General features: G+C 35.7%; 1 long non-coding RNA gene across 1 annotated transcript; it reads right to left on the minus strand.

The window, feature by feature from the left end:
• Positions 1 to 1,252: 1,252 nt before the first annotated feature.
• LOC124906107 (uncharacterized) lies at positions 1,253 to 9,594 on the minus strand. Its single transcript, XR_007087590.1, has 2 exons — positions 2,856 to 9,594; positions 1,253 to 2,413 (listed from the first exon to the last, which is right to left on the minus strand). It is a non-coding gene; the product is annotated as an uncharacterized LOC124906107 (long non-coding RNA).
• Positions 9,595 to 13,818: the final 4,224 nt, after the last annotated feature.

The following is a 13,818-nucleotide window of genomic DNA, read 5'->3' on the forward strand; positions in this document are numbered from 1 at the left end:
CAATTCATTCAATAAAATTCATTTATTACTCACTTTATATGAATAACATGTACTTTATGGGGTAAGAAAACATCTAGCAAGTTTGCTAACAGATGTGTTAGCAGGTGGCATTAAATTGACAGGATCTCTGATTTCAGTCAGTTTATTGTCATAAAGTAAAAGTATGGGAAGCATATCAGTGAATAAATAAAAGCGAATATGTATCACAACACTGTGTGAACCAAAAACTTCCTCAGGAACACTTGTATTTAAGTATGTTTAAGTCTGGGTACCTCGTACTAGCTGATGTCAGGTATCAGTCATCCAGTGTGAAGTTTATCAGAGCAGGCCAATGGCAAAAATTTTCTTCGTCTCTTTTTGTTCTTTTATTTTGGATTTGGATTTTTCTAAAAAAATTTAATAATATTATGGGAATGTATTTTCAGTAGGATTTCTGATAGATAATATGTTGCATTTCTAAATACTGATTTTTTTATTCGTTTTTATGTTACTTAGCATAACCCTGAAAAAACTGGCTGTTAATGTTTTTCTATTCCAGTGTTTCCACATATACTTCCAGATTCAATATTTACTCATGATTTTGGGCTTCATCCTCTGTTAAATTACTTGAAGAATCTTGGAGTCAATTTTGACAACTGAATTTCAGACTCCACCTAAACTACACCCTGTATAGGGAACTTACAAATGTGATGGTCACAGTTGGAATTGCCCTTGGACCCCTGTGTCTCATGCAGAAAATGTCTTCTTCCTATATAACTTCAGACAAATATTTAAAATCTCACCCTTCTAAGTGCATCTCACAAATTTGACACAAACCTTAATTCTTGTACATTTATTTCATGTTTTGATCTTTTGTTGTTAAGGTCTGTGATAATCCACTAATGAAACTCCCTCCCTAAAAGCATAATTTCTCTAGAATTCTAAGTGGGATTTTCTTAATCTAGCAAGAACGCCACCTCCTAAAATCATTTATGGTCTATTTTCTTGCTTTCGAAATACAGTTTAAGAAATATGAACATTACATAAGTAGCAGACAGCATTGTCTTTCTCTGGATTCATTTTTTTCTGCTCTACTTCTTAGCTTCTAATCAATACTATGCCAATTCCAATGGCATACTTAAGAAGTAGTTGAGTTGAAAGGCTCATTTCTCATTTTTCTGACATTACATGATAAATTGAAATAACCAAATTTCTTATTTCTATATCATTAACATTGTGTTTTTTGTCAGTTAATAGTACCACGAAGACTATGTAACACAAATTTTGTAAAAATTTATTTCCTTTACCTTAGCTACATTTTTGGCATTCATTCAGATCTACATGCCAAATTCATTGAACCAAATCTTCTAGTTTCCAAGCAATTCTATAGACACCTTGGAATATTCATTAAGACTTTTAAAGGTTTGTATTTTCATTAAAGAAGGCCTGATTAGAAGCTATAGAAGTTGTCTTCTGAAAAGTATTTTCCAGTACCCACTGGAATAACAAAGTTCTCTGTGAAAGAGCACTCTGAAATCTCATAGTATTTTCTCAGTACCTTGGACATAATCAACTTATGATAGTTAATATATTTTCTAAAAATCAATAACACATTGTCTAAGAAACAGCTTTCTTTTTGTATTTTTAATAAAGCATTTTTAAAAAAGCTTTGCTCTCCATTTTTCAAACATTTTGAAGGAAGGATTGCCTTGACATCCTTCCTCTTTGTTACCAAGCACAACACTTTGTCCATAAGCATTCATTAAAAGATTGCATATTTATTTAGATGCTTCTTGCCAATGATGTGAACTTAAATTTTGTATGTTCTCTTAGAAAAGAACAACATGCCTTCAAATAAATGTTGGGAGAAGATAACCACTATCTCATTTTCAATAAAATATTTACTATTATTTTAACTTCTATTGTAGCAATAATTTGCTAAATAAATCTCTTAGTAATTATTGAAGTTTGTCTAACAATCACCATAGAATCATAGACTAAGGAAGTCTGGCCCAATTGATAGAGGAAAAACAAAATAATGGTTACTTAGTGTCAAAGAGGCTATGAAGATTCAAACATGAATGTTATGTAATTAAGGGACAGGGCCTGTGCTCACGGGGTTGGAGAAGTATTTAAGCGTGTATATTAAAGAATGACAGCTAAAAACACAAACTGTAACTTTTCTTGAATCCCATATTGTGGTCACACAGTTTTTACTGGTTTGATGTATTTTTAAGTTCATATTTCTGTCCTTTTTATTGTCCTCTTATTTCAAATGAGCTTTCAGAAGAACATGTTGGGGTCCTTCCCAACTGCCTACTCCCTCCCCTCTGTCTGGCCAGGCTGTTATGTTCTAGTCAGTTCCAAAGGTCACTTGTTCCAGTTGAAATAGCTGTCTGGATGGCTTGGAACTAGTCCAGACACTGGTTCTTTCCTGCAAAGAAAGCAAAGATAGATGTTTGTTTCTTGGCTACATTTTGAAAGGAAAAAATAAAATAATTTTATGGCTGGACCATGCTTGAAAAAGATCATATAATTCTAGAACCCATTTAAAATTGTTATTATTTTCCAATATTTTGTGTCTATTTTTATTTTTTATATACTTTTCAAAATCAGTTGTTTAGTATCAGTATCATTAGATAAATAGGCAATTGTGTGTCAGAAGTATATACAGATAGATTTTGTTACATTTTAATTAAATACTAATTTCTCTCTCACACACGCACTCCATTTAACTATTCAGTTCTTTATTTATCTTATTCTTAGTAGCTGCTTTAACTAAAGAAAAATAAACTTGAGTCAGGCTAGACAGTACAGGGAATGGAGGAGACAGGTAGTGAGGGGATACTCATAAATCTTCATAGATATCAACTTACCCACACTTGGCAAAGTGGCTGTGTGCACATATTTGACCTCTTCACTTTTCAGACAAGTTGAACCATTTTCGGGCCAGGGAGTACAAAGAATGATGCAGTTATCTGAAAAGTTGTTTCTACAGTGATTTCTCTTTAATCTCCCCTACTTCCCTCATAATGCCTGCAGTTTTTGTGTTTTCTACATAAAAGGAATTAAACAGAAAAATTGCTAAAAATAAGCTGGTTACTGTTTCATGACTTCCAGCCACCAATGGCAATTAGAAAAACAAATATTCCTTCCTTGGAATCACTTGAGTTCGTAAATTTGTAAACCATACAGCTCTTGAATTTTTAAGTAACTTTTAAAAAGATTCCTTACAATGAACAAAGCCTGATCTGTAGGGAACTAACTAAAATCGTTAACACTCTATGCTTTGATGTTACAGCTTTGCTTACAGCATTAATTCAGCATTCTTTGACTTTGGGAAATTCATGTAATGGGGTTTTATGTCTGACATTCACAGGCATTAGCCATTCTTGGCATAAGGAAAGGAAGAAATTCCCCCAAATAAACCTAAGATTTAAAAAACAATTATCAGAAGAATATGTATTTTACATTCTTTAACTTGCCTACTAGTTATAAATAAATATTAATCAATGACTTCTAAGTAAATAGTGTACCTGGCTCAGAATTAGAGATAATAGTAGTCTTGAAAAAAAGTACAGGAGCGATGACAAAACTGTTCTAGCCTTTGAATCTCCTTATTGTAGAAATATTTTATGTAAAATATTTCCCTTCATAACAATCAAAGTTGAATGCAGGGCAAAAATATCATTCTCTCCTTTCTCAACCTTTCCTACTCCTAGGTACACATTTAAAGACAGACCTCAGCATATATTTACAGTGGAAAAATGGAGCCTGTGTTTCTCTACAAAAGTATTAATGGCCTGCCACATCTTCAGGATGACTTCAAGATGAATAAGGTACGTCTCAAAAGAATTCCAAGGGTCCCCCTTTCCAAGTGAATATTAAACCTTGAAAATGCTGGAAAAAAAATTCTGAAACATACAAGATAATACTACATCGAAACACCAAAACACAGGTATTCTTACATGTACTCACATGGATAGAAATATTTAGATTCACAGAGAATTTGTCCTATACCTGGGTTTTTCAGGAACCTGCCTGTATGTGCTTAGGTTTTGTAATGTGTGTGAATATGAATATTAGAATACTTTCTTGAAATAGATTCAAATAAAACTTGCCTTTGACATGTTGAGTAATACTCTTTGAATGGCCTTTTTGGTAAAGTTTTTCTTGTTTGTTGTACCTGTAAAGGAAGGGAAATGCAGAGAATATAAAAATCCTCAGCATGCCGTTAAATCTTCCAAAGGCAGCAATTGCCCTGTGGGTTTCTCATCATTTTGCATCCCTTAATCCTTAATCATAGAGCTGGAGCTGGAGAAAACAGCTGGCCCTGAAAACCACAAATGGGCTCAAGTATTTATTATGTTATGCAAATTGATCAAAACTCTACAACTCTTTAGAAAATAATTTACAAAAAGAAAGAAACCTAAAACAGTACTTTCTTCTTAACAAACAGTTCAACTTTGTTTTGTTAAAGAAGCAATAAAGAATATTGATCTGATCAAATAAGATTTATTAAATAGTTTCTAGACAGAAAATAAAGTCAATGAGACCATGGAAAGCACATGAGTCATATGACCTAGTTGAGTTTATTTAGAACACACACACACTCACAAAAATTTGGGATTCCATCAAAACCAGATTGTTTCCCGCACTGTTCCCCGACTAAAAATTCGAAAGTCAAAGGAAAATTGGACAAAAATGTTCAAAAACGCTATGCACCAAAATTTCTAATAACAAACAAAACAAATGGGATAAAGAAAAAACTGTGTTATACCATTTTGATTTTTATTTGTCTGTTCAATAGTATTTTTATTTCATATAAATAACTTGCATCAAATACCAGTGATCTTTTCCTTTAAGAATTAGCAGGAAAATTATAATAATGAATTCATTTTGAGTAGTAAAATGAAACAATGTAACTAGGATTTAAAGAACGAGAGAGTTATTTTGGAATGTGCTTGCTCTTAAGAAAGGCCAACCAAGATTAAAATAAATGCATTAATTCATCATTGTTCTTCATGAGAATGAGCAATTTAAAGCAGAGAGAAACTTCAGCTCTGTTTCAAAAGGTCAGCTGTGATGGTATTCAAGGGGGAAACTGAAGTCACATTTTTAATACTTAAGACAGACGCTTAATGTTAAAAGACTTCTCTGATGAGATCCTTTTGTGCCAACTGCAGTCTATGCTCCTCAGTGGGTATACAGTGGAAGAAAAAAACAAGTAATTGTCCTTTACTAATCCTTTTAAGTGCTTCAACTGCACATACTCTGACGGGGCAATTGAAATGTCTGCACCCTGCTTACTTCTCCACTAGGACTATCCTCCCTTTCCAGTAAGAAGTCTCTCTCTCTCCATAAGTATATGTACAGAACTGAAGTTTTTAGAAATGTGATTTTGAATTTGCTCAAAGCCAAATATTAAAACAGCTTGGAGTATCCATTCTGAAAACAATTTAGACACATATTCTTTAAAAATTTCAATTCCTAAAGGAAAAATCATCAAAGGAAAATTGTATAAATAATGAATATATATTGGCAAGAATAGTGTTTATCCATGACTGCCAAAATTTAAGATTACTGATAGAGATTGTGGTATGTCTATGTGGCTAGAAAGATTATTGTCAGATGAACAATCTTTTCCATCCAGCACTCATCATAGAATATTCTTTGGTATATGTGAAACCACAAGTACATCAGTGGGAACTTAGTGCAGTAAGCTGGAAATACTGGAGTCAAACCACTAATCATGGCAGTCAGACTTCCCAGAATAAATTCATTGCAATAGAAGTTATGCCAACTACTTGAGTTAAAAATGTGGCTTTAAAAGTTACAGATCAGCATAATATAGAAGGGTTATTAGCAAACTACAGTAATGTGGTTTTAAAGTAGACAGTTTAAACAGCATTTCATAATTACATTTTTCTTAGATACAGGGTCTCAAATGAAAGACAGTTGGAAGCACCATCAGTTATATATTTAATCAAGCTGGGGTTTGCAGATGAATGTATCTATGCTGCCTAAGTGAATTTTGCTCATAAAATATGAAAACCTTTCATTGTGTAGAATATATGTCAGCATACATAGTTCACAAAACAGAAACATTTTTCTCATTGTAAACTACATAATTGTCCAGGCATTTTCATAAGTTAGTCTTAACTTTTTTGATACTTCATAATTGTGAATTAATATGACCTAGAGCTAAGGCAATTAGGAATATACAAAAGTGTGATTTTTTTAAGGTTTCTATTTAATATTTATAGCAATACTATAGACAAATTCAGGATGAAAGTCAGATAGGGTAACTATCTTTTAAACGTTTGTATGAACTTCAAATTTCAGACACAAACAAAAACTAAAGTAAGGTACATTTTAGGTTGACATACAATCTCTGGTTGAGAATTACTATTATTTTAATGCTACTTCTTAACCATACTAATTGTTATAAATCCAGTACCAGTGTGTTTAACAAAGTATTTTCCTGAAGAGCAAGAAGTATGTATATTTTCACTAATTTGTAATGAGGTCTTTACATGTAACTTTTTTTAGTTTCCATGTACTTTTTCTCTTTCTGTGTGTGTGTGTGTGTGTGTGTGTGTGTGTGTGTGTGTGTGTGTGTGTTTTCATTAAACATTTTGTGTTATTTTTATAAAGAAAAATTTGCAAAATGATTTTCTCTTTATATATATATTTCTTAATGCTACACAAGGCTAATTTTCTATACATGATACTTTTAAAAAATTATTTTACTTATGTAAGGATGCTCTTTTTGATCACCTACTAATTTGGCTCTATATATGGATTATTAATGCCAGGAAACTTTATGCATTATCTTTCACTGAGTTAATTTTGTGGAGCAGAAATAATCTGTTTGTCCTATGATGAAGGGATTTACTATCCTGCTCCCCCTCGAGGGTTTTTCACAATGTACATAAAATGATGTAAGTTATTTAACAGAAACTTCTGATTACCCATATCATGATTTTCATGCCCATAGATGCAATACTGCAGCATAAACATTTTTTCAGGTGAATAACCTGAAATCCACAATGCGTAGATATTTTCCTATTGAAATAAACAGTTCTGTTTCTCTAATATTCCACATTACTTTATAGACAAACACTTTTGACAGATGAAAATAAGAAAATAAAATTGTTTTTAAAATTCTTATGCTAAGAAATAGAAGGTAACATTTGTTTAAGTAGGTAATTAGCCAGTCTTGGTGGTACATGCCTGTAATCCCAGCTACCCGGGAGGCTGAGGCAGGAGAATCGTTTGAACCCAGGAGATGGAGGTTCCCGTGAGCCAAGATCACATCATTCCACTCCAGCCTGGGAAACAAGAATGAAACTCCATCTCAAAAAATATACATAGGAAAAATATTTATTTAATAATTTTAAAAAATTATTAAAATCAAAGTTATTGTCAATATTAACCAATGAATACAAATGTTCTGTAAATTATAAATAATTGTAAAATACATGGTACTATTATTATTAAATTTAATGGACAATAGATTTCTCTACTGAGATATAAAGTTTAGCCAAATATGAATTTTATTGTGTGACAGACTGTGGATTATGTTCTGTGTTAAATGTTTAAAAAACCTATAGATACTGTATGCTAACCCATATTCCTTTACTAGTTGTAACTTTGGTTCTCACTTCTTTTTATAGTAAAAATTACATTCAACTACAGTGATAATAATGTGTTGAGTTTATCATAGTAATGAATGTTAAAATGTTCTGAAATTGACTTTGAGGCAACTTACTTGGATTAACAAATCTCAGAAGAAAAAATATAAAATATTAGGACAGTGGCTATTCTTAATGATATTAGTCCCTTCTTAATTAAAACTTCCGTGTTGTATAATAATATTTTGATAAAATTCAAAACGCTGAAAATTGCTGGTGAGGATGTGGAGCAACAGGTACTCTCACACGTGGGGATCAGAAAAAAAGAAACAAATCTGCTCTTTGGAAAATAGGCTGTTTGTAAGTTTTGGGAAGGAAATACATGAGATGAGTTTGGAGCATCATGTAGCGTCTGAAAATAAGAGATTGTTTTTAAAAAAAAGAAACAGAAGAAATGATAGGATGATGAGGATATGTCAAAGAAACACAGGAGTCAACTGAGAGACCTTCCATTGTCTAAAGATGGAACAATCTGGACAACAAAACAGTAGTATTGGTTTATAACCCAAGTTTTAAAATAATAATCCATGAGTTCACATTGATAAAGAAGTGGTTGAATAAATAGAGGAGAAAAGGTACAACTCCATACAGAAGAATTACAAATAATTTATGTGATACTTTTTGCTATCAACGAGGTGAAGCATGACTCATCACTCCTTAAGCATGGGCTATGTATAGACAATTCCAATACAATGTGAAAAGAGTACAATGCTAAGGGAAGAAAAAATTAACTTTGCAGTGGAGAAGCCTGATAAACTATCAATCCCAGTGATAGTATATGCTCATGATATGATGAAATGACACTTTACTTCTGAGGACTTCCTCTCCAATACCCATAAATCCAGGCTAATAATGATGAGAAAAAAAAAATGATCAGACACATCCCAACAGAAGAACATCCTGCAAAAAAGCTGACTAGTACTACTGAAAATTGTCAAAGCCATTAAAATCTAAGTTAGTCTGAGAAACTGTCACAGCAAAAAGGATCCTAAGAAGACATGATTACTAAATGTAATATGACATACTGATGGAATCCTGGAACAGGATAAGGAAATTAGGCAACATTAAGGAAATCTCAATAAATTATAGACTTTTGTCAATGATGCATTAATATTAGTTCATTAATTGTGGCAAGTGCACTAAAAAAAAGATACTAATAATAGGGGAAGATGTGTGTGGTATATAGGGGAAGATGTGTGTGGTATATGGGATCTCTGTACTATCTTTGTGATTTTTCTGTAAATCTAAAACTGTTCTGAAATTCCTGTTTATTTTATAAATATTACCAGCTACTTGAGAGATAAATGCTTACCGATTACAGGTTTTTTTTTATTAACACAGAACTCAACATTTTTAAAAATATAGCTACAAGAATAAGAAAATTAACTGGAGAAACGCCCATTTTTCTTTAGGCCCACCACTAGAAGAAAAAGCATGTTTAGTCTAAAACCTGGAAGAGAACTGTAGATTCAGAAATATACAAGTGGTAATGTGTCCGGAATTGGTGGGTTCTTGGTCTCACTGACTTCAAGAATGAAGCCGCATACCCTCGCGGTGAGTGTTACAGCTCTTACAGTGGCGCATCTGGAGTTTGTTCCTTCTGATGTTCGGATGTGTTTGGAGTTTCTTCCTTCTGGTGGGTTCGCATCTCGCTGGCTCAGAAGTGAAACTGCAGACTTTCGCGGTGTTACAGCTCTTAAGGCGTTACAGCTCTTAAGGTGGCGCATCTGGAGTTGTTCGTTCCTCCTGGTGAGCTCGTGGTCTCACTGGCTTCAGGAGTGAAGCTGCAGACCTTTGCGGTGAGTGTTACAGCTCATAAAAGCAGTGTGGACCCAAACAGTGAGCAGTAGCAAGAGTTACAGCACAGAGCAAAAGAACAAAGCTGCCACACTATGGAAGACGACCCCAGCAGGTTGCCACTGCTTCCTCCGGCAGCCTGCTTTTATTCTTATCTGGCCCCACCCACATCCTGCTGATTGGTAGAGCCCAGTGGTCTGTTTTGACAGGGCGCTGATTGGTGCGTTTACAATCCCCCAGCTAGACACAAAGGTTCTCCAAAGCCCCACCAGAGTAGCTAGATACAGAGTGTCCATTGGTGCATTCACAAACCCTGAGCTAGACACAGGGTGCTGATTGGTGTATTTACAATCCCTGAGCTAGACATAAAGGTTCTCCACCTCCCCACCAGACTCAGAAGCCCAGCTGGCTTCACCTAGTGGATCCCGCACCAGGGCTGCAGGTGGAGCTGCCTGCCAGTCCGGCACCGTGCCCCCGCACTCCTCAGCCCTTGGGTGGTCGATGGGACTGGGCGCAGTGGAGCAGGGGGTGGCGCTCGTCGGGGAGGTTCGGGCGGCACAGGAGCCCATGGAGGGGGTGGGAGGCTCAGGCATGGCGGGCTGCAGGTCCCGAGCCCTGCCCCGCGGGAAGGCAGCTAAGGCCCGGTGAGAAATCGAGCGCAGCGCCGGTGGGCTGGCACTGCTGGGGGACCCAGTACACCCTCCGCAGCCGCTGGCCCCGGGTGCTAAGCCCCTCATTGCCGGGGCAGCAGGGCCCGCCGGCTCCTCTGAGTGCGGGGCCCGCCAAGCCCACGCCCACCCGGAACTCCAGCTGGCCCGCAAGCGCGGCGCGCAGCCTCGGTTCCGGCTCGCGCCTCTTCCTCCACACCTCCCTGCAAGCTGAGGGAGCCGGCTCCGGCCTTGGGCAGTCCAGAAAGGAGCTCCCACAGTGCAGCGGTGGGCTGAAAGGCGCCTCAAGTGCCGCCAAAGTGGGAGCCCAGGCAGAGGAAGCGCCGAGACCGAGCGAGGGCTGTGAGGACTGCCAGCACGCTGTCACCTCCCGGTAATAATCAAATCATAGTTGAGTACACATTAATTTTATAGGAAGTCCATAGAAATACTAGATTGTTTAAAGTTGCAAAACATTACAAAATGATATTTTACAATACTATTCCACAGATTCTATTTCAATTCAAGAGTAGTTTACTGTCTTCCAAGCACCTTGGGAAGTTAAATAAATAGATATGGTACTTAATATGCTTAAAGTCATGTACAGCAAAAGGCATTTATATACCATTGTGGGGTCATAGATTAAAAATGAAAAAAGTAAAGCTGCTAAAAGTAAATGAATGAAATTTTATTCATTCACAGCAGATGCCACATAAATATTTTGAGTAGATCAATTTTATTTGTGCAGGGAAATATGAAACTATAAACTTAACACATTATATTTACCCTCAAGAAGATTTTAATTAAGTTGGGGATATCAGATTTTAGTACTTGAACAACTCAGGAGGAATCAATATAAGGGTCATGGAAAGGCCTTTTAATTTAGGTCACAGTGAATTCTACCTGTTGATTCTGTTGAGGAAACTACTTGAGGCAAGGCCAGGCAAGGATACCCTGTGTCAACAAATGACCCCCATGTACCAGAGGCTAACAATGAAGTTTATTTCTCACTCACCCTACAAATTCATTCCGAGTTATTGCTATTCTCCTCCAAGGAAGCTCTACACCAAGTAAAAGAAGCTGTCTCTAACTGGGGCATTACTGATCTTGTGGTAAAGAGAAGCATGGCAAGCCACATGCTGACTCAGCAGTTCTGCTTGGCAGAGTCACATATCACTTCTGCTCAGCAGTGAAGACATATTATTTTGTTGTCCAAAGTAAGTCACATGCATACTCCTGAGTTCAGCAGAAAAGGTATATAAAGTGGAACAGTACAAGGAGGGAAAGAAAAAGTTGGCCATCAGTAACATAATCCGTGATACATATTAAATGCCACCAATACTTACTAACTTTGTGACCTTAGAAAAGTTGCATAATATTTTTATGCCTCCAACTCCTTACCAAGAAAATATGAGCAATATTTAGTCATAAAATTAAAGACAAAATGAAAATAAATATGTAAAGCATTTAAAATTAGATGGGTACTGAATAAATGATAGCTATTATTATAAATACCAAATGAATGTAAAGCTACTGTTACAGCAATGAGAGTCTTAATGGCTCAACTAAGTTTTAGACAATAATAAAGCATTAAAGATATTAATATAAAAGGTCTTATAACCTTGTATTTATTTTACCATTTTTAAAATATCATCAAATGATATAATTAAATATTATTTTGATGTATTTTTCAGAATAATTTTATTTGTCTGTTCCATAAAATATTCTGCAATTTTTAGCTGCCTGTTTGCTCTATATGATATCTTTCATGAAAGTGAGAGTCAATCTTTCCAGGATTGGATGCCTTGAACTAAATAAATCATAGCAAGACCTACATAATTGAAAACAGAAATATTGGTCTAGAGAAGGGTTTCCCCTGCCATGACAGCCATTAGCATGGTTTTTGAAATGGAGCTGTGTCTGCCAAAGGCCTTTGGGCTGAGCGTGGCTAGAGAACCAAGAGTCCCACAAAGTATAATCCAGGTTGTCTTACTGGTAAGCCAAAATCGCTGTGCTTTTTCTATGGTTTGAAATTTATCTCAAGGAAGATTTCAAACCAAAACCAAACTTGGCTAAAATTCTTAGAAAATATGAGTACTTGGGCAGCTCAGTTATGCTGAAATGCAAATGGCTGCTGACAGAGTGTCTGTCCAATTTTGGTTCCTTGAGCATGGTAGAGAGATGGAGCAGGAAGTAATTGTATTTGGCTTAAGGAGCAGGAAGCAATTGTATTTGGCTTAAATGTACTGTCCTTATCTTTTTCCCTTTTGAAAATATGAGTATTTGATTTCCATGACTCTAGTACTCTCTTCTTTACAAGTACAAAGTCTTTCTCTTTCGCTGGTAAATCTCTTTTCACATTCATATAGTTTTATCTACTTCTACTTGGATTTTATTGAATTCTTACATTTATTGCTGTTTTATGTTCTATCTTCTGCCTTTCCATCTAGTTACTAAGCTATTTACTAAACTGCTACAAAGTATATGTTCTGCATCACTTTCATTGTCTAGCACAGTACTACTATAAATAGAAGGTTATTAGTAAGCATGTGGTTTTTTATGAACTCTCTTGCCTGGTTTACAGTTCTATTTTCACCTATCTTTTCATCATTCTTTGATTATTTTGCTGTCGTATGTTAAAAATTATATATTTACTTAAAAGTAATTATGATCTGAGAAAAATATTTGATTAATTTTAACTGAGGTAACAGAGGCATTTTTAAATATTTTAGTCAGTCAATGTGGGACCTGGCTAATAAAGGAACAATGAAAATTTGAATGGATTTTACACAGCTTTCTAAAAACCTATGTTTGAGGCATTCTCAGAGGGTGGAAGGTAAAGGGGAAGCAGGTACATTTTACATGACTGGAGCAAAAGGAAGACAGAGGGGAGAGGTGCTAGACACTAGAAACCAGATCTCATGACAACTTTATTATGAGAACAACACTGAATAAATAGTGCTAAACCATTCATGAAGGATCCATTCCCAAGATTCAATCATCTCTGACCAGGCCCCACCTCCAACATTGTGGATTACCGTTAAATATGAGATTTGGGTGGAGACACAGATCCAAACCATATAACCTTCCTACCCACTGCTCTCTCAGAATTCAATATTCATAGTTTTTTATTTACTCTCTTGTATAGTTTAATGAATTCAACTTTATTTACTTCAGTGCAATATCTCCAACCCCATATGCCAAGGAACTACCTTGGGGTTTTTCTTAGTAACACATTATAAATTTGTCTACCAGGGAAATGACCCAAAACTCAACTGACTCATTGGAACTTGAACTTTGGCCAGGAATTCATTTATGGCAAGGCCCCAAATACCTTCACTCTAACAGAGGGTCCATGATGATTTCTTGTGTCCAGCTTTCCTCAAAATACTTGGTTATTTTTTTTCTTCAGTGTACCATTACTAAAGCAATTGGCCATAGATCCTGTCTTAATCTGTTTTCTGTTGCTATAACTAAATACCTAAACTTGGGTAATTTATAAAGAAAAAAAAAATCTACTTCTTACAGTTCTAGAGGCTGAGAAGCCCAAGGCTGAGGAGCTACATTTGGTGAGGGCCTTGTCACTGATGGAGACTCTCTGCAGAGACCTGAAGTGGCACAGGACATCACATGGCAACAGAGCTCATGACAGACAGCCAGATTGGCATTTTGTAACAGACCCACTCTCATGAGAACTA

Source organism: Homo sapiens, chromosome 2 (genome assembly GCF_000001405.40).
Source record: "Homo sapiens chromosome 2, GRCh38.p14 Primary Assembly".
Lineage (NCBI taxonomy): Eukaryota > Metazoa > Chordata > Mammalia > Primates > Hominidae > Homo > Homo sapiens.